The 23,234-nt window shown below is 44.4% G+C and overlaps 1 protein-coding gene across 3 annotated transcripts in view, besides 11 other annotated features; it reads left to right on the top strand.

Moving 5' to 3' along the window:
* ATXN7L1 (ataxin 7 like 1) overlaps positions 1-23,234 on the top strand; it is a 271,828-nt gene that overhangs the window by 87,837 nt on the left and 160,757 nt on the right. For all 3 annotated transcript variants that reach the window (NM_020725.2, NM_001385596.1, NM_152749.3), the window contains exon 3: positions 55-159. In NM_020725.2, coding sequence (NP_065776.1) covers positions 55-159 — 105 coding nt within the window. The remainder of the gene's footprint in view (positions 1-54; positions 160-23,234) is intronic.
* Positions 263-798: an enhancer, noted in NCBI's record as "H3K27ac-H3K4me1 hESC enhancer chr7:105428411-105428946 (GRCh37/hg19 assembly coordinates)". NCBI's record gives its function as "activates a minimal SCP1, AML or CMV promoter by ChIP-STARR-seq in naive H9 embryonic stem cells {active_cell/tissue: H9 hESC(naive)}" and the evidence as "EXISTENCE:reporter gene assay evidence [ECO:0000049][PMID:30033119]".
* Positions 5,125-5,354: a silencer, noted in NCBI's record as "fragment chr7:105423855-105424084 (GRCh37/hg19 assembly coordinates)". NCBI's record gives its function as "represses an EF-1alpha promoter that drives an FKBP-Casp9 reporter gene in an ReSE screen in K562 erythroleukemia cells {active_cell/tissue: K562}" and the evidence as "EXISTENCE:reporter gene assay evidence [ECO:0000049][PMID:32094911]".
* Positions 11,357-11,940: an enhancer, noted in NCBI's record as "H3K27ac hESC enhancer chr7:105417269-105417852 (GRCh37/hg19 assembly coordinates)". NCBI's record gives its function as "activates a minimal SCP1, AML or CMV promoter by ChIP-STARR-seq in naive H9 embryonic stem cells {active_cell/tissue: H9 hESC(naive)}" and the evidence as "EXISTENCE:reporter gene assay evidence [ECO:0000049][PMID:30033119]".
* Positions 11,357-13,108: a biological region, named in NCBI's record as "CDK7 strongly-dependent group 2 enhancer GRCh37_chr7:105416274-105417473".
* Positions 11,736-12,935: an enhancer, noted in NCBI's record as "CDK7 strongly-dependent group 2 enhancer chr7:105416274-105417473 (GRCh37/hg19 assembly coordinates)". NCBI's record gives its function as "activates an origin of replication core promoter dependent on BRD2, BRD4, P300/CBP, MED14 and CDK7 cofactors, with strong dependence on CDK7, by STARR-seq in HCT116 cells {active_cell/tissue: HCT116}" and the evidence as "EXISTENCE:reporter gene assay evidence [ECO:0000049][PMID:35650434]".
* Positions 11,941-12,524: an enhancer, noted in NCBI's record as "NANOG-H3K27ac-H3K4me1 hESC enhancer chr7:105416685-105417268 (GRCh37/hg19 assembly coordinates)". NCBI's record gives its function as "activates a minimal SCP1, AML or CMV promoter by ChIP-STARR-seq in naive H9 embryonic stem cells {active_cell/tissue: H9 hESC(naive)}" and the evidence as "EXISTENCE:reporter gene assay evidence [ECO:0000049][PMID:30033119]".
* Positions 12,525-13,108: an enhancer, noted in NCBI's record as "NANOG-H3K27ac-H3K4me1 hESC enhancer chr7:105416101-105416684 (GRCh37/hg19 assembly coordinates)". NCBI's record gives its function as "activates a minimal SCP1, AML or CMV promoter by ChIP-STARR-seq in naive H9 embryonic stem cells {active_cell/tissue: H9 hESC(naive)}" and the evidence as "EXISTENCE:reporter gene assay evidence [ECO:0000049][PMID:30033119]".
* Positions 15,961-16,460: an enhancer, noted in NCBI's record as "H3K27ac hESC enhancer chr7:105412749-105413248 (GRCh37/hg19 assembly coordinates)". NCBI's record gives its function as "activates a minimal SCP1, AML or CMV promoter by ChIP-STARR-seq in primed H9 embryonic stem cells {active_cell/tissue: H9 hESC(primed)}" and the evidence as "EXISTENCE:reporter gene assay evidence [ECO:0000049][PMID:30033119]".
* Positions 18,805-19,304: an enhancer, noted in NCBI's record as "H3K27ac hESC enhancer chr7:105409905-105410404 (GRCh37/hg19 assembly coordinates)". NCBI's record gives its function as "activates a minimal SCP1, AML or CMV promoter by ChIP-STARR-seq in naive H9 embryonic stem cells {active_cell/tissue: H9 hESC(naive)}" and the evidence as "EXISTENCE:reporter gene assay evidence [ECO:0000049][PMID:30033119]".
* Positions 19,305-19,806: an enhancer, noted in NCBI's record as "H3K27ac hESC enhancer chr7:105409403-105409904 (GRCh37/hg19 assembly coordinates)". NCBI's record gives its function as "activates a minimal SCP1, AML or CMV promoter by ChIP-STARR-seq in naive H9 embryonic stem cells {active_cell/tissue: H9 hESC(naive)}" and the evidence as "EXISTENCE:reporter gene assay evidence [ECO:0000049][PMID:30033119]".
* Positions 21,911-21,970: an enhancer, noted in NCBI's record as "active region_26470". NCBI's record gives its function as "activates an Ori minimal core promoter by ATAC-STARR-seq in GM12878 lymphoblastoid cells {active_cell/tissue: GM12878}" and the evidence as "EXISTENCE:reporter gene assay evidence [ECO:0000049][PMID:35858748]".

The raw sequence follows: 23,234 nt of genomic DNA, 5'->3' as shown, positions 1-23,234 counted from the left end.
CTTCTGAGACTTAATTGCTTTTTCAAAACACACTTGTTTTCATTTCCCCCACAGATATGCACTTATTTGGCCATTACCCAGCACATGACGACTTCTATCTCGTAGTGTGCAGTGCCTGTAACCAGGTCGTCAAGCCACAGGTTTTCCAGTCGCACTGCGGTAAGTGGACCCCTGCACCGTCGGCCACATCTGCAGCTGCCGCCCTGGGGACAGTCGCCTTCCCCTGGGCTCCCCGACAGGGTCTCGCCATGTCTTGTCTCAGCCTGAGGCTGTGGGTAAAGTCTTCCTGGGCTGCTGCCTCTGCTCGCAGGCTGTTTTAGGAGCTGTAGTCCTTCTGCTGAAATCCGCAGTCCTGTCAGAACAAATGAGAGAAAACCTGCAACTTGTCTCGGTCGATGGGACTAGACTGAAGCCATCTGCCCAGCCTAGCGATGGCCTCTGCAGGTGACCAGGGGAGGGGAGAGCTGCTTAAGGAGTCGCTCCTGCAGCCAGACATTTTCTCCCCCTGAAAGAGGGTCAGGAGAGAGTCTCCCCGAGACTTACAAAAAGGAGGGCTGCGGCCAAGCACAGCCCAGTGTGTGGCCCACTGGGGTGCTGCCCCAAGGAAATGGTGCATCAGTAAAACCTTACATTCCAATTCACCTTTCCCAAGAATCCTCCTTGTTAAAAAAAATCCCAGGTGGGGTTGGGAACTGCTTTCCGTCTCTAAACATCCTTGATGTAATAAATTCCTTCAGTTGGTCATCAACAAACCATGGACAGAACAGATAAAGTCCACGTGGCTGCCCCACCCCGGGGATGAATAAACAGCCATTTGGCCTTAGACTAGAAGTCACTTAACCTCTCTGGGTGGAAGTTTCCTTATCTATAGCAGGGAATTGGATTAGACAATTTCCAAAGCTGTAATATGCTGTGAGTCCAGCACAGTATCTCCCAATCTTTTTATTTAAGCTGTATTCCCTTTTGATGAACATAAAATCTGAATGCCCTCCTTACCATTAAGGTTTCGAAGTACATTCTATTGTGCCTAAAAAAAGTCAAAGCAATTATAATATTGAATATGCTTTTGCAAATTACGCACATTTCCCCTTTCTCACGTTCCGAATTTCTGACTTTTCCCCACCTCTTCAGTTATCATTATTCTATAATAAAATAAAGGGAGTTGAGCTTATCCAAGCTCTTTAACAGTCTCTCTATATACAAATTATCAACTGCAAACACGTGTATATGTATGTATATGATATATACATATCTACATATATATAATCTGTATCTGTGTATATACTGTAGGCATATTTTGTGTTTGTAATGTGTAGAATTCAGGCTTACGGAGCACCTCTGGGAGTGAGTCCAGGACTTTCAAACCAGCACAAGGCAAAGCAAGGGCCCTAGAAAGCGCTATAGGAGGAGGTTTGGTCAGAGGCCAAGTCTTCTGCCCCTCCCTGCAGCCAGCACTGTGTCCTCGGGCTACTTGCTTGATGTCTCAGGGCTTTGGTTTCCTTGTCCCTACCATGGGAAGATGACTTCTGTGGGTGTGTCCAGCTCTGACATGTTCATTCTGGCAGACTGAGCAGGAAAGGAGCAAGTCGTGTGCCTGGCACAAGTTGACCTTCTTGCCTAGTGCTCTGTACCAAATGACCCTCTCCACTGCCTGGAAGAGAGAAAGGGTTAAACCTCTCCAAAGAGAAACTGTCAGCTGGTACCACCAGCTGAGATGACAGGTGGAGAATCCAAAGCAGAGCCATGGCAAGAAGGTCCCACCCAGCCAGTGGTTCAGTGACCAGGCATAGAAGCTCCGTGACCAGTGCTTCTGTGCGTCTTGTGAGAACGCAGAGGCTACATCATCCTGAATATGATTTTCATTCACTCAATTCACAAGGATGTGCAGCTGTTATAGGCACGGAACAAGGGGTTGCATTCTATTGTAAGCCATCAAAACTTTCACTGGGACTGGGTTCAATGGCTTACACTTATAATCCGAGCACTTTAGGAGGCCAAGGCAGGAGGATCACTTGAGGCCAAGAGTTTGAGACCAGCCTGGGCAACATAGTGAGACCCCATTTCTTAAAAAAAAAATTTAGCCAGGTGTGGTGGTATACCTGTAAGTCTCAGCTACTGGAGAGGCAGAGGGGGAGAACTGCTTGAGCCCAGCAGTTCGAGGTTGCTGTGAGCTATGATTGTGCCATTGTACTCCATTCTGGGCAACAGAGCAAGACCCTGTCTCAAGAGAAACAAACAATAAAACAAAACGAAACCCAAAAAATCTTCACTGAGAGCTTAATTCACTGGAGTCTTTGATGGAAGGATCCTGAAAGGGACCCAAAACATGGGACCCCGCTGTCCCCTGCAGAGTTCTTCCCAGGGGAAAGGTCCCAGATTGCCAAGGGAGGAGGCTCTGGTGTTTAGCAGAGCTGATACACCTGCCTCCCCCAACCCTGGGGCTCTTGGCATAAGAGCCAAGAGTCAGCTTAGGGGACAGCCCATGGCTTTGGGAGCTCTGAGCAATGCAGTAAATTAGTTTGGGGGTTTGGGGTTACTGATCTCGTCCCTCAAAGCCCAGTCTCCGTTAAGCTTCTTGCTGAACAAGCTGACAAGCAGCAATGGGGACATGATCACAACTCAGCAAATTGAGGCACCAAGGCCTCCCTCAGCTCTAGGTGTGTGTCCTAGTACAAATACAAACTTACATTTATCAAGACCCAGAGAGTGCAAAGCAGAGGTTAGAACCATTGTAGCTCTTTGTGGGGAGTACTTTTTAGTGTCCCTAAAAATTCCTGCAATAGCTTCATGATTGTCTAAGTCAGTTCAGGCTGCTATAACAGTATCATAGACTAGGTGGCTTATAAACAGCAGAAATGTATTTCTCACAGTTCTGGAGGGTGGAAGTCTGAGGTCAGGATGCCAACAAGGTCAGATTCTGGCGAGGACTGTCTTCCAGGTTGCAGACTTCCAGCTTCTCACTGTGTCCTCACATGGTGGAAAGAGAACAAGAGTTCTCTGAGGTCTCTTATATGGGCACTAATCCCCTTCATGGGGGCTCCACTCTCATGACCTAATTATCTCCAAAGGCCCCAACTCCGTATACCATCACATTGCGGGTAGGATTTCAACATAGGAATTTGCGAGGGACGCAAACATTCAGTCCATAGCAATATTCTTTTTTTTTTCTCTTTCCTTGTAGCACTGGCCTTGCTATTTTCCACAAGTTAATAAGAATGCCAGTGTGCCGAGTGCCAGACACTGTGCCAAGTGCTTTCCATATCTGTTATTTGTTTCGTTTTGTCTTTTGGGTTTTGTTTTTTTTTGAGTCAGACTGTCATCCAGACTGTAGTGCAGTGGTATAATCTCAGCTCACTGCAACCTCTGCCTCCCCAGTTCAAAAAATTCTCCGGCCTCAGCCTCCAGAGTAGCTGGAACTACAGGTGCCCGCCACCACACTTGGCTAATTTTTGTATTTTTAGTAAAGACGGGGTTTTGCCATGTTGGCCAGGCTGGTCTTAAACTCCTGACCTCAGGTGATCTGCCTACCTTGGCCTCCCAAAGTGCTGGGATTACAGGCATGAGCCATCGTGCCCAGCCTCCATCGCTTTGAGCATGTAATCTTTTCAACAGCCCTGTGACATGGGTGTTAATGTTATACCCATTTTGTAATTGAGGAAGCTAAGGCTTAGGAGGTCAGTGCTTTGCCCGAGGTCTGATTTTGGGCACAGGCCAACACCCTGTGGTTAACTGCCAAACTTTCTTTCAAATGGAATCTTATATAAAACCCCAATCCATAAATATATATGGGAAGCAGAGCTGTTGAGGTTAAAATTGGGGCAGGGGTCCAAGCCCCATGGACGCAGCCTTCTCCTAACTTTTTTCACCCCCCACCTGCCAGGGCTCCACAGAACATTATTTGAACTTTGTTGATGTAGAGGAGACAGCATGGGCTTTGGAATGAGACAAAGCAATTCACGACTCCCCCACTAACTGTGCAACCTTGAGCAGCTCACCTCATCCCTCTTCACCTCCATTTCTTCATCTGTAAAATGGGTACTCTGCCTGCCTCAGGGGGTTGCTGGGATGATGTGACTGATGTGAGGCTTAAGGTTCATTTTCTCTTCCCTTCTCTCCATGGCGTCTTTCCCCATCGCCCCCAGCTGGATGCAGTTCTTCGTGCTGAACAGCCACAAAACTCTGTTCTCCTGTGCCACTTCCCCTCCTGCCATGCTGTCATGTGTGCCACCTCCCGCTTCTCCCATGGGTGCATGGCAGTGTTCAAGATCTTGGTATACTAGTCATTTAACTTAAATTGAAAAAAGTGTGTGTGTGTGTGTGTGTGTGTTTAGCCAGTCAGTTATGGGGACTTCAGAAATTTGTGGTTAAAGGAAAACTGTTGCTTACTCAACATTTCTGATACCAAATTGTGAGTTTTCCATACCAAGGGGATTCTCTGCAGGTACCAATTCAGTGTCCTACGATTTAATTCAGTTCCGACAATAACTACCTGTAGCTGGGGCCGGGCGCAGTGGCTTACACCTATAATCCCAACATTTTGGGAGGCCAAGGGAGGGAGGGTTGCTTGAGCCCAAGAGTTCAAGACCATTCTGGGGAACATGGTGAAACCACATCTCTACAAAAATATTTAAAAATTAGCCAGGCATGTTGGCATGTGCCTGTTGTCCCAGCTACTCAGGATGCTGAGGTAGGAGAATCACTTGAGCCCAGGAGGTTGAGGTTGCAGTGAGCTATGATGGTGCCACTGCACTCCACCCTGGGTAACAGAGTGAGACCCTGTCTCAAAAAAACATGAACCAAAAAAACACTACCCAGAGTTAGCACAGACCCCACAGGTTAAAGGCTCAGTCCCACAAAACTGTGTCCCCACTTCAGATGCCAGTCACAAGTAATAGGTCCCCAGGTTACCCACATTTCTGTCTGACTTGGCTACAAATTAGGGGTCTCCACACCCCTCCTTATGTTCAATAATTGGCTATAACAACTCACAGAACTCAAGGAAACATTTTACTAATGTTTACTGGTTTATTTATATTATAAAGGATATAAATGAACAGTCAGAGATAATAGGGTGAGGTCTGGAAGAGTCCTAAGTGCAGGAGCGTCTGTCCCTGTGTGGAGTTGGGGTTCACCACCCTCCCAGCATGTGGATGTGTGTACCCATCTGGAATCTCTTTAAACTCCATCCTTTAGGGTTTTTTGGAGGTTCCATGCATGATTGGTTAAATCATTGGCCATTGGTGATTGGCTCAATCTCCAATTGGTCTTTCTGGTGACCGGCCCCCAGCCTGAAACTGCCTATGTACGCCAGCCACCAGTCATCTCATTAGCATAAAAAGACACTCCAGAGATCCCAAGGGTCTGAGAAGCTCTTGTGTCAGGAAACTGAGGACTAAGACCAATACAATGAAAGATATTCCTATCACCCCTGTCACTCAGGAAGTTACAAGGGTTTTAGGAGCTCTGTGCCAGAAACTGGGGATAAAGACCAAATATATGTTTCCTATTATATCACAATATCACAGCACCAGTGTGAAAAATAGAATGTCATAGTGGAAAAGTCATGAATTTTGGAGTCAAACAGAGGCAGGTTAGAATCCTAACATTTACGGGCTGTTTGACCTTGAGCTACTTATATGACCTTCTGAGCCTTCTTTTCCTCGTCTATAAAATAAGGATGGCAATTCCTGCTTTGCAGAGTTCCTGTGAAGAACACAGAAAAAGGTTGTATCGTTTTCTGGCACATGGTAAGGGAATAAAGAAAGGATTGTCAATAAATTGTGGCTATTTTTTATTAAGTTGAATGTTTCTTATGAAAAATGGGAAAACCAATTCAGTCAAGTGCTTCCTGCCTTCATTTCTTGCCCTGTCTCAGAGGATGTGCACGCTGAGGTCAGCCCACAGACTTTCGCCTGTGATTCATCTTTTGCTTCCCACACTCTTGGAGGCAAGAAATGCTGGCCTGAATATGATTACATTTGCTAGGAGTCCTGAGGGCTTGGCTTTGCAAATATTGGTTTACATTCACATTAGGCCCCTATGGCAGCTCTTTTAGAAATGCCGTGAAGCTCCAGTATCTCTCTGCGTTCCCTGCCGAGGTCCATCCAGCCTGTGCCATAGCGTCCTACAGGGGTGACATGGAGCCCCCCGCCCAGGGCTGGCCACAGTCCTTCTGCTCCTGATCGTGTGCCCCATGCTGGCATCCCAGATGTAGAAAGCAGGTGCAACCACTGCTGGGGAGACCCTTTGCCTGGCATGGAAGTGGAGTGCTCTTGGAGCCACGTTCTGTGTCACCCCATTAGGGATGGCTTCCTAGGGTCTGTTTCCTAAGTCTGTACCAACAGCCTTTTAGACACTTTTTAAACTTCTCCCCACGAGATCTAGGATTTCAAGGGATTAGTTTGTTTCTAAAGTCCCTTAGGTGAATGGATAAGCTTATTTAGGAATAGTTGTAGAAAGGGGGAAACAGAAACAAGAAGCCTTACCTTGGGAGTCCCAGTTCCACTCTGCAGGCATCTCTGTCCCTCGTAGCTGTCCATCCCAATTTGATGCATTGACATGGCGTGTGAGCCTAGTGGTTGAGTGTAACCTCTCTAGGACCCATTTGATAGATTAAAATTCCAGCTCTAGGCCAGGCGCAGTGGCTCACATCTGTAATCCCAGCACTTTGGGAGGCCGAGATGGGCAGATCACCCTGAACTCAGGAGTTCGAGACCAGCCTAGGCAACATGGAGAAACCCCATCTTTACCAAAAATACAAAAATATTAGCCAGGCGTAGTGTTGTGCTCCAGCTACTTGGGAGGCTGACATGGGAGGATTGCTTGAGCCTGGGAGGTGGAGGGTGCAGTGAGCTGAGATTGTGCCCCTGCACTTCAGCCTGGGCAATGGAGCAAGACCCTCCCTGTCTCAAAAAATAAAAATAAAAAAAATTCCAGCTCTGCACCTTATTCCCTGTGTGACCTTGGGCAGGTTACTTTGCCTCTGTGTTTCTGTTTCCGTATTAAAATGGAAATAATAGTTTATCTCATAAAGTTTCATGTTGATTAAAGGAACTTGCATGTGGAAAGCACAGTGGTACAACAAAGTTTGCTTTAAAAAAAAAGTTTCACAATTATTAACTGAGGGATAAGCTACAGAGATTTATAATGAAATCTTGTCCAGAGTTTTCACTTGTGATTACTGTGGAAAAGGAGATGTTTGTGACTCTTCGTCTTGTCAGAGCTGTGGTGGGTCCTTACCTCAGCCCAGAGAGAATCCAGGGACAGGGCAGAGGATGATGCTCTGTGTGTGTGCACAGGCATGTATGTAAGACAAAAACAAGGAGGTGCAAGGTGCCTATACTGGAAAAAAATTTTTTATTACTTTTTAGTAATTGTGTATTTTCAGTCAATTTGGACTATTGTAATTAAAGAAAAAAATAATAGGTAGATCCAGGTTGTAGTTTTGTAATTGGGGTGAACGTTTATGGTGAGTTGTCTGATTTGCCTAAATGAAAGAAGTAGGATTTTTTGGGGGGTCCTTATCTTCTAATATAGTTACATAACTACCTACAGTAAAGCAGGGTTTCTCAGCATGGGCACTGTGGACATTTTGGGCTGAATAATTCTTTGCTGTGGGGCTCATTCTGTGTCTTACTATAAGATGTTGAGTGGCTTCTCTGACCTCTACCTACTGGATAGCAATAGCAGTCTCTACCCCACTCCTAATCTTGACAACCAAAACCATCTCGGGACATTGCCAATAGCCCCTAGGGTGCAAAATCGCCCCCAGTTGGGAACTACTGCCGTAAAATATAACATGCCCCTGTTTATTATACTGTATTTCATGCTTTTCTGTATTTAAATTTTTTATCAAAGTAAAATATGTGTTTATGCCCAGAAATGACTTCTGTGGAATCACAGCCGCATGTAGAAAGTTGACTCCTTCAGCTTGCACAGAGCTAGCCATTGGAATTATTTCCCCATCACACATACATGCAAAGTGTAAAACAAGTTATCTTACAGCAGTCCATAAAATTGCAGTCCTTTCCACTTCAAAATAATTTTTTTTTAAAGGCAAAAGAAATAACACCTTCATGTACACAGATCCCACAGAATTTGTCTGCCACACTTGGCACTAGTCCTCTCAGCAGAAGGCCATACGGCTGCACACCCCGCCCATCAGACAGAGATAATCCTTGGATGTCACTGCTACTTAAAAAAAAAAAAATGGTTTAGAACCAGAGAACCTGGATGTCATTCAATAGACAAGAGAGGATTAGATTTTTTTTCCTCCTTCTCAGAGAGGGCTTTTTATTCCCTTTTCTGATTATATTTTTGAATGCCCTTCAAGTAGCTGTTTTTCATGTTGATGGTGATGCAGTAGAATTTAATGAACTGTGAGCTAAAGCAGAGAGGCTGAGCAGAAAAATAAATAAGTGGCAGAAACTCACCCCTGGAGTGAGGCATGGCATGTCCTGGCTGGCACCCCATCCTTCTGTGTACATCCAGATGCTGATGCTGGTTGGATACTGAGAACAGCATGTCTCAGCAGTGCTACACATGGGAGCCTAAATCATGAGGATCCAAGGTTCCCTGCAATTGTTCTTTTTATTTTGTCTATCTCCAGGTGACCTCTGGTTGAGGAAGAGACAAACCATGTGTGCCTCTGAGCCCTAGAGAGAGTTAGTCCCTCCTGATGTCAGTGCCCCCTGGGCTTCTCAGAGTGTCAGGGGCATTATCACCTGCTAATTATCCCGCCAAGACTTCCTTTCTGAAGGTGTTGATTGCCATTGCGTGGGGCTTGGGTTTTTTTGTCAATTAAGTTAGATTTGTTTGCTGACATTAAATTGTTGTTACTGTTATTGTTAGTTGTCTTTTATATGACTAGATTTTTTTAACATCAGAAGTATAAAATAAAGGAAATTATTCTCATTGAACATATTCTTTGTCGTTTGATAACATTAATTAATAAGACTTGGCAAGAGCACAGGAATCTGTGCAAACTTTATTTCACCAGTAGAATTTTTTTAACTTGAATTTGATCAGTCTTTCCCAAATCCAGAATTAACTCCTGGTATTGATATCATCTTTTGAGTTCCTTATGATCAGAAACAATGTCTGCTATTGTTTTTGCTTATTTCATTTTTCCACCATCCCTAGTAAAGTGCAGTTACACTATAGATGCTAAGGAAATCCTTATGATGGACCCTAGGAAAATCTCAAAGGAAAGAAATGACAGAATGACTGATTAACGAAGGATTATCCCATAAATCAAGCATTACAACCGAGAGAATCTACGACTAAGTAGGACCATGTTTTGCTTCACTTCAAGTTTTTATATTTTGGACTTGCTACTGCTCAAATTAAAGTTAATGCTGGGTCCAGAACATAGCAGGTTGACCTGGTCCCACTTTTCACTCCCCTAATGCAGGATAAAAATAACAGCAATAAAGCTAAAACACTTACTGAGCACTTACTATGTGCTAAACATTTTAATGTGTTATTTAATCATGCCATCACCCTAAGGTGATATCTGGTCGTGTTATCTTTATCTCACACTCAAGGAAAGGGAGACCCGGAGGACTTAAGAAATTTGTTCAAGATCAGGCTGATGTAACTGGCAGAACCAGAATTCCAATGTCTGACTCCAGAGTGCCTTAACTACTACATCAGTTATATGTTTTGTGTCTCAAACTCGCTGCAATACCATAACTAAACTTTGATGCAGAAAAGTCATTTCCATCCCCTGTAGGATGCTGAAAAGTAAATAACAGGTGCTTGGGGCAGGTGAGCTTCATTGCTCTTTCTCATTTTAATCCACACCACTGATCTTCTCTGCTTATTGGCATAGGCAGAGAACTTGAACACAATTTTGAGGTAAGGGAGAAGGAGAAATAAATTGGTAATAGGGAATGTGTTTAGAGCCTTAACCACAGCATTTGAAATAGACCTTTAAATACATGAAAGCAAAAAGAAGGAAGCTTGTAGAAGAGATGGAGTGGGTACCACATATGTTCTCCTAAAAATTCTACCTGTAGTTTCTTGTTTATCCCCAACAAATGAGCAGATCCATGAGACTCACAAAGAGTAGATAAATTTCCTCCATTCAGTGAAATTCTCTTTTTTCATGTTTCTGTGAATCGAGTAGAAATGTTGCAAATAAGCACACAGCAGATATAATGGTTCAGTTCAAATTTAGAAATAAATTAATAGGATCTTCATAACTTTAGGATTATTTAGTCTTTGTTTTTTTTTTTTTTTTTTTTTTTTTGAGATAGGGTCTTCCTCTGTTGCCCAAGCTGGAGTGCAGTGGCATGATCACTGCCCACTGCAACCTCAACTTCCCAGGCTCAGGTGATCCTCCCACCTTAGCCTCCCGAGTAGCTGGGACCACAGGCATAAGCCACCATGTCTGGCTAATTTTTTTTTTTTTTTTTGTAGAGATGCGGGTTTCGCCATGTTGCCCAGGCTGGTCTCAAACTCCTGGGCTCAAGCGATCCTCCTGCCTCAGCCTCCCAAAGTTCTGGGACTACAGGTATGAGCCACCACATTCAGCCAGAATTCATTTTTAATTGAAACAATCTTCTACTTATTATCTCATCAAAGCCTATTTCTTGAAGGCTGAATGTCTTGGATTACATTCTCCAGAGTCACATGGTTTCAATTCATTTGTTTATTTGAAAAATATTTATTGAGCACCTGCTATATGCCAGGCACTGTTCTAATGCTGCAGATGCATTAGTGAACAAGACAAATAAGGGCCTGGCTTCTTGAGGCTTATGTTCTGGTAGGTTAAATAACATAAACAAATACATGATCAAGCCATGTGAAAAGCTGTCACAAGAGTGTCCCAGCAGAGAACACAGAAGAGTAAAAACAAACAAGGCACATTTGAGGGCTTCAGAGTAGTAGACAAGGACCAGAATGTCAGAGTCATGTAGAACAGAGTCTGAAGGTTGGGTTTTACTCTACGTGTGGTGCTAAGACACTGGGGGGTATTGAGTGAGGGAAAGGCATAATCTGGTTTCTGTTTTCTGAAGCTCACTCTGGCTGCAGTGGAGCCCAGGAGACCCGGAAGGAGCTAATGCATAGCTAGCGGTAACAGATCATCGTGGTAGCCGTGGAGATGGAGAGAAAAGGATAAACTCGAGATCTATTTTGGAAATGTAGCTGACAGAATTTGCTGACAGAATGGATTGGATTAGATTGGAAAGGGAAGAGTCAACATTTATTTAGAGTTAGGTTGAAGGAGAATGGCCAGTGACTTGGCAGAAAAAGCAGCAGAGAATGACTACACGGAAGCCAAGAGAAGAAAGCGTTTCATAGATCATGTCAAATGCCAAGAGGTTGAGTAAGACACTAAAGAGAAGAGGTCGCTAAGTTAGCAACCTGAGGGTTGTTGGCCTTGACAATAGCCAATTGACAATAGGTGATTTTATTTGTGTCTTGAGATTTTTTTCCAAGGACAGATGACTTCATTTTTGCTTCACCAACAGGCACCATTTTTAGGCTGGCAGTACCCTCAGTGTTTTATTGGCATGTATGCTGGGCTTAGCTGCCACCCAACTCAATCGTCAGCTGGCTCCTTTGCCCTCTGCATCTCTGTGACCTATAGCACTGATTACTGTGCAGAAGAGTCACTGTGAACACTAGACAGTGAGTTCCTGAAGGCTAGGACTGTTCCTTGGGCATCGCTGAGTCCCACCAGGGAGCACTTTTCCTGGCTTCTAGTAGACACTCAGAAGTGTCTGGGATAGGCCAAGGTGGGTAGATCACCTGAGGTCAAGAGTTCCAGACCAGCCTGGCCAACATGGTAAAACCCCAGCTCTACTAAAAATACAAAAGTTATCCAGGCATGGTGGCACGTGCCTATAATCCCAGCTACTCAGGAGGCTGAGGCACGAGAATCGCTTGAACCTGGCAGGCAGAGATTACAGTGAGCCAAGATTGTGCCACTGCATTCCAGCCTAGGTGACAGAGCAGGATTATGTCTCAAAAAAAAAAGTGTCTGGGATAAACAGGTGGATAAACAGGCAGAAGGAAGCACTCCTCCAATCCCAAATTCAAGTGCTGTTGGCACCTTCTGCTTCACCAATATTAGCATATATGGTGGCTGGTGCAAATTCTTATGTACTTATCCACCCCTCCCCCCTCTCACACTCTCAAGGAACAAGGACCCCTGTCAGGCTCACCATTCAATTCCCTGAGTCCACACAAGGAGTGCTGGATCTCAAAAGTTGATGCCCAATATACTGTTTTTTGTTTGTTTGTTTGTTTTGGGGGGGGGGTTGTTTGTTTGTTTGTTTTTCTTAAAAAAAAAAGAATCTTGGAAGAAAGAAGGAAGGAAGCCAGCAAGGAAGGGAAATTGGCTCACCAATTATGAATAAGCCAAATTCCACATGTAAGCAAGTACAATCATTTGGAAGACATGGCTGCTTGAAAGAGAATGACCAACTCTGTTGAGACGCAGTTGGAAAGGCATCCCTCTGTGAGCAGTGGGGAGGCCATGGCTTTGATCCCTGACCACAGCTGATTGCTGGAGGGCTCTCGCTGTAACGTGACCCCTGGCTTCTGACTCATCACTGGTGTGTCCTTGCCATACAGGCTGCTCCATTCCATTCCTCAGAGCTGTATCCACCGAGGAGAATTCGGGTAACAAACATTCCTGTATTTAAATCTGAGTAAAGAATGTTAGCAGCGCTGATTCAAAAGGTCATCTCGGAATTCTCCCTATCCTGAGCCATAAGCAGAGAAGCATCTCCCAAACAGTGCTTTCTCTGGAACAGTGAGCCCATACGAAGAACAAGGGTTTGGGTAGATGCATACCCTTGGGAAACTGTGCCAGACTCCCCCTCCCAGAGCCTCATAGCAGCTATTAGCACATTAAAGCGCCAAGAGGTCTTGGAGTCAAAAACAAAAATGCATCTATTTCACATTGGAGTCACATCGCCCTCATCCAAATTCAGCCACATGCAGTGGGCAACAAGAACAACAAAACTGCATGTTTTTCCTAAGAACGTGGGCCTAGACACTAGCTCACCCTTTCGTCTGGTGTCTGAGCAAAGAAACAAAGATGTTTCCCAACTCTGGAGGAGAAACTGGCCATGGGAAGGGCCCACTGTCCCACATACTACGTGTACTGTACTCTTTCAAGAGGAGTTTTTGTCCTACAGGATTTTCGCCTCCCACCCTGACACTAGAACCCAATCCCATGTAAGCTGCAGCATTCTGCATCAATTTTCTTTAGGGAGGCCCTCGGAGTATTCTCAAGGAGCCGATTCTTATGTCTTCATCTGGGATCACGGAGAGTTACTGACTCCTTCCTGGAGTGTCACATGCTAGAAACCTGTGTGCAGGCTTGCCCCCAGATGCTACAAATCTCTAAAGATACTTCCAAGCTATATCTTTTCTAAACCCGCAGTGCTTCTTCCCATGATGTGTAGAGCTACTTTGCCAGGCTTTCTTTCTGGGTTCCCCCCTCCCCAGAAAAAGGTGCTGTTAAACTAATGTTACATCTCACAATTAATGGCATCCTAGAATCGGGGAATACCGTTGATTGTTTGGGTAGGACCTTTCCCTTGCTCCTTTGCAGGGCCAGGCGCTTCTGAAAACTGGGTGCAAATTTGGGAATGCTGCATAGGAGACTCATAGGAAATAGATAGGTCTAGGGCAAAACATAAATTGGGGGGCATAAAGGATGAAAGAGTCAGTAAACCATTTCACTATGATGAATCCCACTTTACCTGGAAAAAATAATCTTTTTTTTTTCCAGAGAAAGCAACCATTGTCTTTGTTTTACCATGCTGGAACTACAGATGTCTTAAGATTTGGTTTCTGTTATTTGTTTGTTTATTAGCGTCATAGATACTTTGCTTTTCTCCCCCTGAATTATTTTCTCAAATTCCGAAGCCTTCTCTAGGGGTGCATTTTCCTAAGATAACAATGGCTTAGTTTACATTGTGGCTGTGGTTTTCTGCTCATCTTTATAAGTGGCTGCCTCCACCCCATATGTAATCTTCTTAAACAAGCACCTTCTTAAATGAGGCAACCCTCTTAACCAAAGCGCATTAATAATACTCATTATTAATGAGTATATGGTAGTGCTCTTCTTATTAATGAGAAGGCTGCGGGGCCGGGCGCGGTGGTTCACACTGTAATCTTAGCATTTTGGGAGGCTGAGGCAGGTGGATTACTTGAGGTCAGGAGTTGGAGACCAGCCTGGCCAACATGGCAAAACCCCGTCTCTACTAAAAATACAAAAAATTAGCCAGGTGTGGTAGCACACATCTGTTATCTCAGCTACTAGGGAGGCTGAGGCAGTAGAATCGCTTGAACCTGGGAGGTGGAGGTTTCAGTGAGCCAAGATCGTGCCACTGCACTCCAGCCTGAGTGACAGAGGGAGACTCTGTCTCAAAAAAAAAAAAAAAAGGGTTGCTGGCTCTGACTGACACCCTAATCCTGTGACCTGCATTTGTCAGCTCTGGGCATCATCCTGATAGTGACACTAGCTCCAAAAACATGAATCAAGTTTCCCGGTGCGTTTAAGAAGGCAGGGGCTAGATGGTGGCCCTTTGAAAATTTTCCTCCCACTTTCTTGGCTGAGCTGCCTTTGTCATATTCTTACAACAAACCCATGGGTCCCTAGGGTTTGGTGGTGAGGAACTTCTAGCCCTTATGGCCAACCTTTGCCTTAGCTGCTCTTTGAGGTGGGTACTGGTGATGGTGGCAGTGCAGAGCCAGCCTGGGAGACAAGTGGGGTGGCCAGAGGAAGAGGGTGTACCCCAGAGCTGCCCTCCTCTGTGGCTTGTAATGTTTGTGAGCCAAGAAACCACTGGACTTTTTGCCCTCCCCGGTGCCCCACATGCAGGCTGAAGAACTACGGTCCTATCATTTATTTTTTTTAACCACTTCTCCCCGACCCTCACTTGTCTACACAACTTGTAGGCCTGCCATCAATGTGATTTGATCAATGTTACCACGATCCTGCGTTCCATCCTTTTTAAGTTGTTAGGGGGTTTCTTTTTTGTATTTGTTTCATTATTCAGCCGGCACTGGAGTTGCATTGGACTGGTAGCACATCCTGGGGAGGAACTATCCATCTGGTTTTGGTTTTGATTGGGGGGATTTTTAGGGGGAAGTGCTCATTTTTCCTGAGATACCTGGGCCTATATCTTCCCCCTGTGTCTCCTGTTTAGCCTTTCCCACTCCTTTTTCAGAAGTGAAAGAGCAGACAGAAGGTCCCCTACAAACAGTTAACTACGGTATTTTCTCGATTCCAGGATGACATTAATTGTAAGGTGCCACAGCCATTAAATAGCACCTTTTCCCAGGTCCCAGGGGCAATTCAAGGACAGTCTCGTCATCCACCCAGCACTGGCGAGCAGAAAGAGATGGGTATAGTGTGGCAGTGCAGGGCATGGGCCTGGGAATGTACCAAGAGCAGCTTCTAGTGCCGTATGACTAGGTCATAATTAATTCACACATGCCCTTCTTGTCTTGTGGGAATCAGGTGCTTCACTTTCCCTTTGGCTTAGAGTTTAGTTCAAAATAGAAAATAATGAAGCTACAATGGTCTGGGAGTTTCCTGCTTCTTGTGATACCCCTGATAATTGTCATGTAAATTAACTAGTCCCATAGCAACTAGGCCACACATAGGAAAAAAACCACACCACTGCCAGATGGTAATTTAGGAATGTGATTTTAGTTTTCAGATGTAAAGGATGGTGAGGGAGTGGCCTTACTATTGTTTTATTTTTGATTTCTTGTTTAATTGATGGTGGTCAGAGAACATTAGTTATAGGTTATCCATTTTATAATTCATGATAACTTCCTTTGTGACTAGCTAGCATGTGAACCACTTTTGTAAATGTCTCACGTGATTGAAAAATGTATATAATCTCTCTGTTGTGGGCAGAGTTCCATATATTTATTGTATATTTTGTAATTTAGATCATGTATTATTAGAAAATTTATTTAATGTCTCTCTTGTGTACAGTATTCCATATATTGTTTATTTTGTTTAAATCTTATTCATTCTTGCCATTTTTTGTTTGCTTGCTCTGTAATTTCTGGGAAGAGAGTTTTAAGTCTCCTGTGATAATTCTAAGTGTGTCAGTCTCTCCTGTAACTCTGACACCTTTTGCTTTACAATTTTGAGGCTGTCCTGTTGGGTATATGTAAGCTTAATTGTGAGGTCTTTTTAGTAGTGGTGTCTTTGTGCCTATTAATGCTTTTGCCTTAGGTTCTATTTTATCTGATTAAGATTGCTATTCAATTTTCTTTGGGTCAATATGTATTTGCCTCATTTATTTCTTTCCAATCTTTTATTTTCAACTTTTCTGTGTCATTTTGTTTTAGGTGTCTCTCTTGTAAAGCAGTATATCGCTGGCTTTTTAAAAAGTCCAATCTGGCCAGGCACAGTGGCTGATGCCTATAATCCCAGCACTTTGGGAGGCCTAGGCAGGCGGATCACCTGACGTCAGGAGTTCAAGACCAGCCTGGCCAACATGGTGAAACCCCATCTCCACTAAAAATACAAAAATAAGCCAGGTGTGGTGGCATGTGCCTGTAATCCCAGCTACTCAGGAGGCTGAGGCAGGAGAATCGCTTGAACCCTGGAGGCAGAGGTTGCAGTAAGCCGAGATCGTGCCACTGCACTTCAGCCTGGGCGACAGAGCGAGACTCTGTCTCAAAAAAAAAAAAAAAAAAAAAAAAAAAATTCCAATCTGATATTGTCTTTTAATAGGTGAGTTTTATCCATTTACAATTATTGTAACTACTTTATATATTTGGACTTATTTCTAACTTCTAATTTATATTTCCGTTTACATTGCTTTTTGTTTGCTTCTTTGTTCTCCTTTTCTGCCTTCCATTAGATTAGTACAATTTTCCTTAACCTGTCCCCATTTTTCCCCCTGGTATCTTGGTCACAATAGATTTTATTTCTAAAATCTATATGTTTAATGATTGCCATTACGTTTTTAACATGCATACAGAACTTTAGTTTTTAAAGACTAAAGTTATCCACAATCTCTGTCTTCTCAGATAACACAAAAATCTTTGCATACTTTACCCACTTACAGTCAACTGGTAATTACAATAAAGAATTGAAATCATGGCCCAAAACACTGGCAATGCTTCTCAGCCTACTAATTCATAGGGGATTAGAGGCACCCTGATTAATTTGTGAAGCATGAACTTTTGGCTGATTCACTGTTTTACACCCTGAGATGCTTTGGGGCACATCTCAAGTTCAAGTGATACTTCATTCACAGCTCATAATCTCTCTCTCAAGTTCCCGAAAGTGTTCTGAAGTAGGATTGGACAAAGGGGAACTCAGAATCCTATGATCCACTACTAGGACCTATTTTCATAAATCAGATTTGTCATTTGTCATAATTTTCAGTGAGAACATCAGGGGGCTCCTCCTCCCTGCTTGACACCTGCTTCCCTGTCCTTTGATTCTCAAAACTTTACTGTGCATATACATCGTCCAAAAAATCTTGTAAAAATGCAGATTCTGATTCAATTCAGTAGGTCTGTATTATTATTATTATTATTATTATTATTATTATTATTATCAGAGACGGAGTCTTGCTCTGTCGCCCAGGCTGGAGTGCAGTGGCGCGATCTCGGCTCACTGCAACCTCTGCCTCCTGGCTTCAAGCAATTCTCCTGCCTCAGCCTCTTGAATAGCTAGGATTACAGGTGCCCACCACCACACCCAGCTGATTTTTGTATTTTTAGTAGAGACGGGATGTCACCATGTTGGTCAGGCTGGTCTTGAACTCCTGACCTCGTGATCCGCCTGCCTCGGCCTCCCAAAGTTCTGGGATTACAGACATGAGCCACTGCACCTAGCCCAGGTCTGTATTTTTAACATGATCCTTGGTGATGCTGGTGCTTTTGGTCCACAGAACCCACTTTGAGAAGCAAGAGCTTGGAGAATAGAATTTAGCTAGGAAATTTAAGTTTCAGCTCTAGGTCATGGTTCCTTGATGCTTACAGAATAACAGATAAAGAAACTTTCTCTTTGAAGGGGTTGGGGTTCAGGATTATTTTAATTCTAAAGGTCTCCTTAAGGTCTGGCAGGGTCTCTCCATCCCTCCTTGGGCTCAGATCAGACTGGCTAAAAGTGAGTGGTCATTCAGTGCTCTGTGAAGTCCCTCCACCTCCACCCCCATTTCCTCTGCTGTCCCTCTTGAGGTCAGCACAGCACACACTTATAGTCTCAGGCCTGTCACTGTGTCATTTAGATGTGACTCATGTGAGTCAATGCCCTGAGGAAAAGTCTGCCTGGGGTAAGGGGCAGGCTTCCTGGTAATTTATGTTTAAGACAAGCTTTTAATAGAGATACACTCCTAAGTAGTAACCAGGAAAAAGATTCTCTCCTCTTAACGGGTATCCATTTATAGGACTCAGCTGTTGAAGCTCAAGGGTAGCATTAGGCTTAAGCTTAATCTTCTGTATACTGTAATTTACAGCGCTGAGTAAAGCATTGTATGTACAACTATTTCAGTCATTTGCCATGATAAATAGCTATTGCTCTTGGCAGAGCAGAAACGCCATCTATGCTTTCCATTTATGAATATTGAATTGTCTCAGGCAGGCTTTTGCCGTAAGTTTTTAAAGGGGAAATCCCCAACTAATCACATCACTGCACTGGCCCAAAATGTCATCTCCCTGCTACATGCACCAGTCAGATCTTGATCCAGGCAGCAATTCTGCAGTGCACGTGTTTCTGGTGAAGCCTGCACAAAGCACTTGTAACAATTCCAAATGCAAGTCCTGCTAAAGGCTGCAGTTTTACGCCGAATGCCACGAGCTGTTAGGGAGAAGATTCAGCTGGTGGCAGAACGCCACTGGCAAGGATCAGGAAAATAACTTAGAGGTGACAATCTGATGCAGGAAAAATGGAAGGGGCATGATTCTGTGGGATTCCTGATGGTGAAAAGATGATGCCACCTATTGAAACTAAGGAGACAAAAAGGTAAAAGAAAATGCCCAGGCTATAAATCCCTAGGGATCTACTCTTCAGGAACTCAGAGACACTTATGCCTTCTACCAGTCTTCTCTTCAGATACTGTATGCCCTGCTGACTGGGAGGAAGCAAAGTGGATATTCAAATAGGACATCCAGGTAGAATGACCATCTTGTCCTGGGAAATCCCTTAGGCCTGAGTCAGCCGGTCACCCTACACTCAGGCTTCCAGAAATTTCCCGTCTTCGCCCCCATTCCTTCCCACCAACAAACTTCCTGTGCTCGGGGGACTAAAATACTTAGGCTGGCATTCCTTAATTTGTCTCACATTTCTGATCACCCACTATGGGCCAAGCATTGCCTGAGTGGTGGGATAAGAGAGTCAAGCACGAACACGAGTAGAGACAGCAAACACACAAAATAGTGTGCCGTCGCCTGTTTTTGAATACCGTGAGGTAGACTGGCATGGTCACGCTTCCATGGTCACGCTTCCAGAAGCCACTTCTCAGCAATGTCTCTGGAAGATGATTCCTCTGAAAACAGTTGAGAGTCTTCTGTACTCACGACTGCCTTTTGAGCTTGATCATTTGCCTATAGAAATATCTTCCATTTCTACAGTATCTTGCTGTTTCCAAAGCACTCTTGTAGCTCACTCATTTTCATTTTCATAACAACTCAGTAAGGTACACTGGCGGAAACTGGTTTCACAGATTTGGAAGCTCAAAGAAATTCAGTGATTTGCCTGAGGCCACACAAGTGATAGGGGCAGAGCTGGGACTAGAAGTCAGGATTCCTGACTCCCCACAACTGCATTTTCCATGGATAGAGACCCCAGGGGGGGAAAAGGCTTACAGAGCAGCAAAAAAATGCACCCAGTACAGGAGGCAAATTTACTTTTATGAAACTTCCAACATTTACAGTTTCTAATTCTAGATTTACATGCAATGAATACATCCTCTAGCTGTCTTCTATCTTCCTTACTCAGGACCCAAGCTTTCTGCAATAACTATTTGAAAACCAGTTTTACGATTTTGACTCTGAAGGAAGATTACTCGTCTTCTTGTAGGTTCTAGTCTACCCTTTCATTGCTTGGCCAGAAGATTCTATCAGAACAAAAGTTATGGTCATTTCAGCAGATGCTGGGAATAAATCCCTTCAGCATTCTGATTAGTTACAATGGGTAATAAGAGAACTGTGCAGACCAAAAACTCCAAGTACATGTTTCATGCATGTAAACCTACTCGTGATGGGTTTTGGCTGAAAGCTAAGCATTGATAACCTTGCCACCAAAGCTTAGAGTCGCTTGTTAGTATTCTGAGAGCTGGAGTACAGGCACAGATACAACTTGATCCTGTTAACGTCTCTCATTCCTAGGCCACAGATAAGTTTGTTGAATAGGAAGTTGAGAGAAAGCGATCTGGAGAGAGAATTGTATGCAAGTGGCTCAAGTGACCTGGCAATTTGGGAGTCCCTTGCAACCTTGCTATGACCTCCTACCTCTGTTTGCCCATCTATGGAATGGGTATGGTGGTTATATACCAAGGTTATTATTAGAAATGATAAATTTGAAAATGCCTTGGCATGTAACTTGTGCTATAATTATACCTCACTGCCACATGGAAAATAGGCATTTTTAGCTGAAATGTGTAATGAGGTTAGGCAGGGAACATCAGTTGGTGGCAGGAAGAGTGTTCCCAGAGACAAGAGGTTTGAGGAGAGGGGGCCAGATGCTCACTAAGGAGAACAGAGAGATCATCTATGAAGCGTCCTTGGGCATCACGATGGAATGTTCAAAACAAGCACAAAACAAACGTTTAGACGTCTGGCCTGAATTTAGAAACAAATAAGGGGCTTGGAGATGAGCCTCTGTCTTTTCACACTGCAGGCTCTGCACTCCAGCCCTGAGTACCAGTCGAACTCCAGAGGGGTGGACTGGAGAAGGAGGAAGGCCTGAGCAAGCCAGTGCCCACATGGGCTGCAGCTGCTGGGTTTCAAGGAGCTTTCTATCGGAGAGGCAGCAGAGGGGTTCTGAAAGAGCCAGACCCTGGAGCCAAGCTATCTGGGCTTGACCTTAGCTCTGCTATTCACTGGCTGTATGACCTTCAGCCAGTCCTCATCTCTCTGTGCCTCAATTTCATCAAGCTCAAAATGGGGGTAATAATAGTACCTGTCTCAGAGGTTGTCAGGAGGATAAAATAAGTAAATAGGACTGCAACATGTAGGAGAACACCAGACATCTATACACTTAAACACAGCAAGGCACTTCTCTGGCCTTGTGAATTTCAGCACATGGCAGAGAAGAAACAAGCTGGACTGGCTGAGGAAAGCTCACCTCCAGAGGACTGAGTGGGTTAACCATGAATTACATAGTCATTCCCAGAGAGGACGCATGGCGGGAGAGAAGCAGCAAGGATCGTAGCTGGATGGATACATGGCCTTGGCTGGACCAGGGGCTGGCGAGTATAGGGGCTTATGGAGGGCCGGGTTTTGCTCAGGTGGACCCTCTTGAAACTCCCGGTGGGCCTCCCTTCTACCCCCAGGAAAGCTGGAATCTTGGGGGCTTCTGTGTCCCCAAAAGCGGATTCCAGTGGCCAGCATCTTGGAAATTTTTGTGCACTTATTTCACTTGTATCAGTCTTTTCTAGGGTCATTTACTGATATTATACTTTCTCTGCTCTGGAGTCATTCCCCTGCAAAATCATTCCCCTGTTATCTGTCTGCCTCAACACGGGAAAAATCCCTGTCATCTGGAACCCTTGCTTCCTGCCCGCCGTCCTGCCTCACTGCAGTGTGTGGGCAGATCTGCTCTCTGCTGCACACGTCTTCAGAAAGACTGAATTTCGGGCTTTCAGAGCAAGCGTCTTTGAATCCACTGGTGAAAGGAGACAGCAGTCATCTGCTGGTTGATGTTTGCCAAAATGTGGCCTTAGACTGGGATGAAGTGATGGCTCCTGGCACGGAAGCTGGTTCCCCCTGGGTGTACACCCAGCCTGAACAGCTCCTTTAAAACCAGAAGCAATTTGTCATCTTTTGATTCTCTTCCAGCACTGTCCCTGTCACAGGTAGATAAATGAGGCAGCATATGGGTGTCCAAACACAGGATCGTCTAATCCCAGCGGTTTCCCTTGGAGCCGTCACTTCTCGAGGGTGGAGAGCACAGTGGGGTGGTCCCTGGCTTCGGGGTTGTAACCATAAGCATATTTTTTCATCACATGTCCCATTTATATGCATGAAATGCTTTCTCAGAATCTCCCAGCTTCTGTGTCATTGATAGGTGCATTTCTCATTTCAAAATTCCGAAATGAATCATACGTTTGTGAGCTCAACATCTCATGTCTGTAGTTCCACAGAATGCTACTAATCAAATCAATGTCTCGGCACAAACCAACAAGCATCCCTGACTTAAAAACAGATGGAAGTTGAACTTTTTGTGCTAAAAAGACTTGATTACAGAAAGTCAGTGGGAAAGGTGCATACATTTCAGTTTCCTTCACGTTGCACGCACTGTAAGTGGCTTGAGAGATACATTCAGAGTTTTTTACGCAGCCCACGTGGACTTTGAATTTGTTGCTTATATATCGATAAAGCCACCAGATTATGTCCAAGGATGCAATAGGCAGAAGAGGGCTCCTGATCTAGTTGCCAAAACATGGTTGACCTGCGATTCCTTTGTAAATGAAGGATAAGCCTGTGTGGCGAATGAGCTCAGCCCCTCGGCACACCTCCTGCCTATGCCAAAGGGTTGAGTGTGTTTCTGGTCTAGCCAGACAGTTTTGATTTCTTCTGTGGCCATAGGTCACATTCTTCATCCCCACAGCTGCCAGATTAACTAGACATCCTTGGTCACAAGGGCCCAGGCTTGACTGGATCAGTTCAAGTTCATCCCAGATACAGGAAAGTCATCTACTCTGATAGTATTACAGTGAGTCCATAAGCATCTTTGAGACACCTTGAGAAAGGAGGAAATGTGGAGCATCGTCTCCAAGCAGGATCTGTTGAGCATGGATCGGATTCTTACACAGGCTACTAATGCTGGTGACCATAAGAAGTTTATAGCCAGCTCTTCATTATCTATGGTATTGAAGGAGAAATCTAGCATGAACTTTAAAATTTCAAAATAAATCCCACAGTTTAAGCTTTAGCCGGGGATTTCATACTGGAAACCTTTTAGGGGAGAGTAGTATTTCCTTTTATGTTTTCCCAATTAGTAGTTTAATGAGCAGCAAGATGACCCAAGGGGGATGAGAGACAGCACAGGAGGATCATTTGCCTGG

This window comes from Homo sapiens, chromosome 7, assembly GCF_000001405.40.
Source record: "Homo sapiens chromosome 7, GRCh38.p14 Primary Assembly".
Classification (NCBI taxonomy): Eukaryota; Metazoa; Chordata; class Mammalia; order Primates; family Hominidae; genus Homo; species Homo sapiens.
The sequence above is the reverse complement of the archived record's forward strand: the minus strand, read 5'-3'. Positions and strand labels throughout refer to the sequence as shown.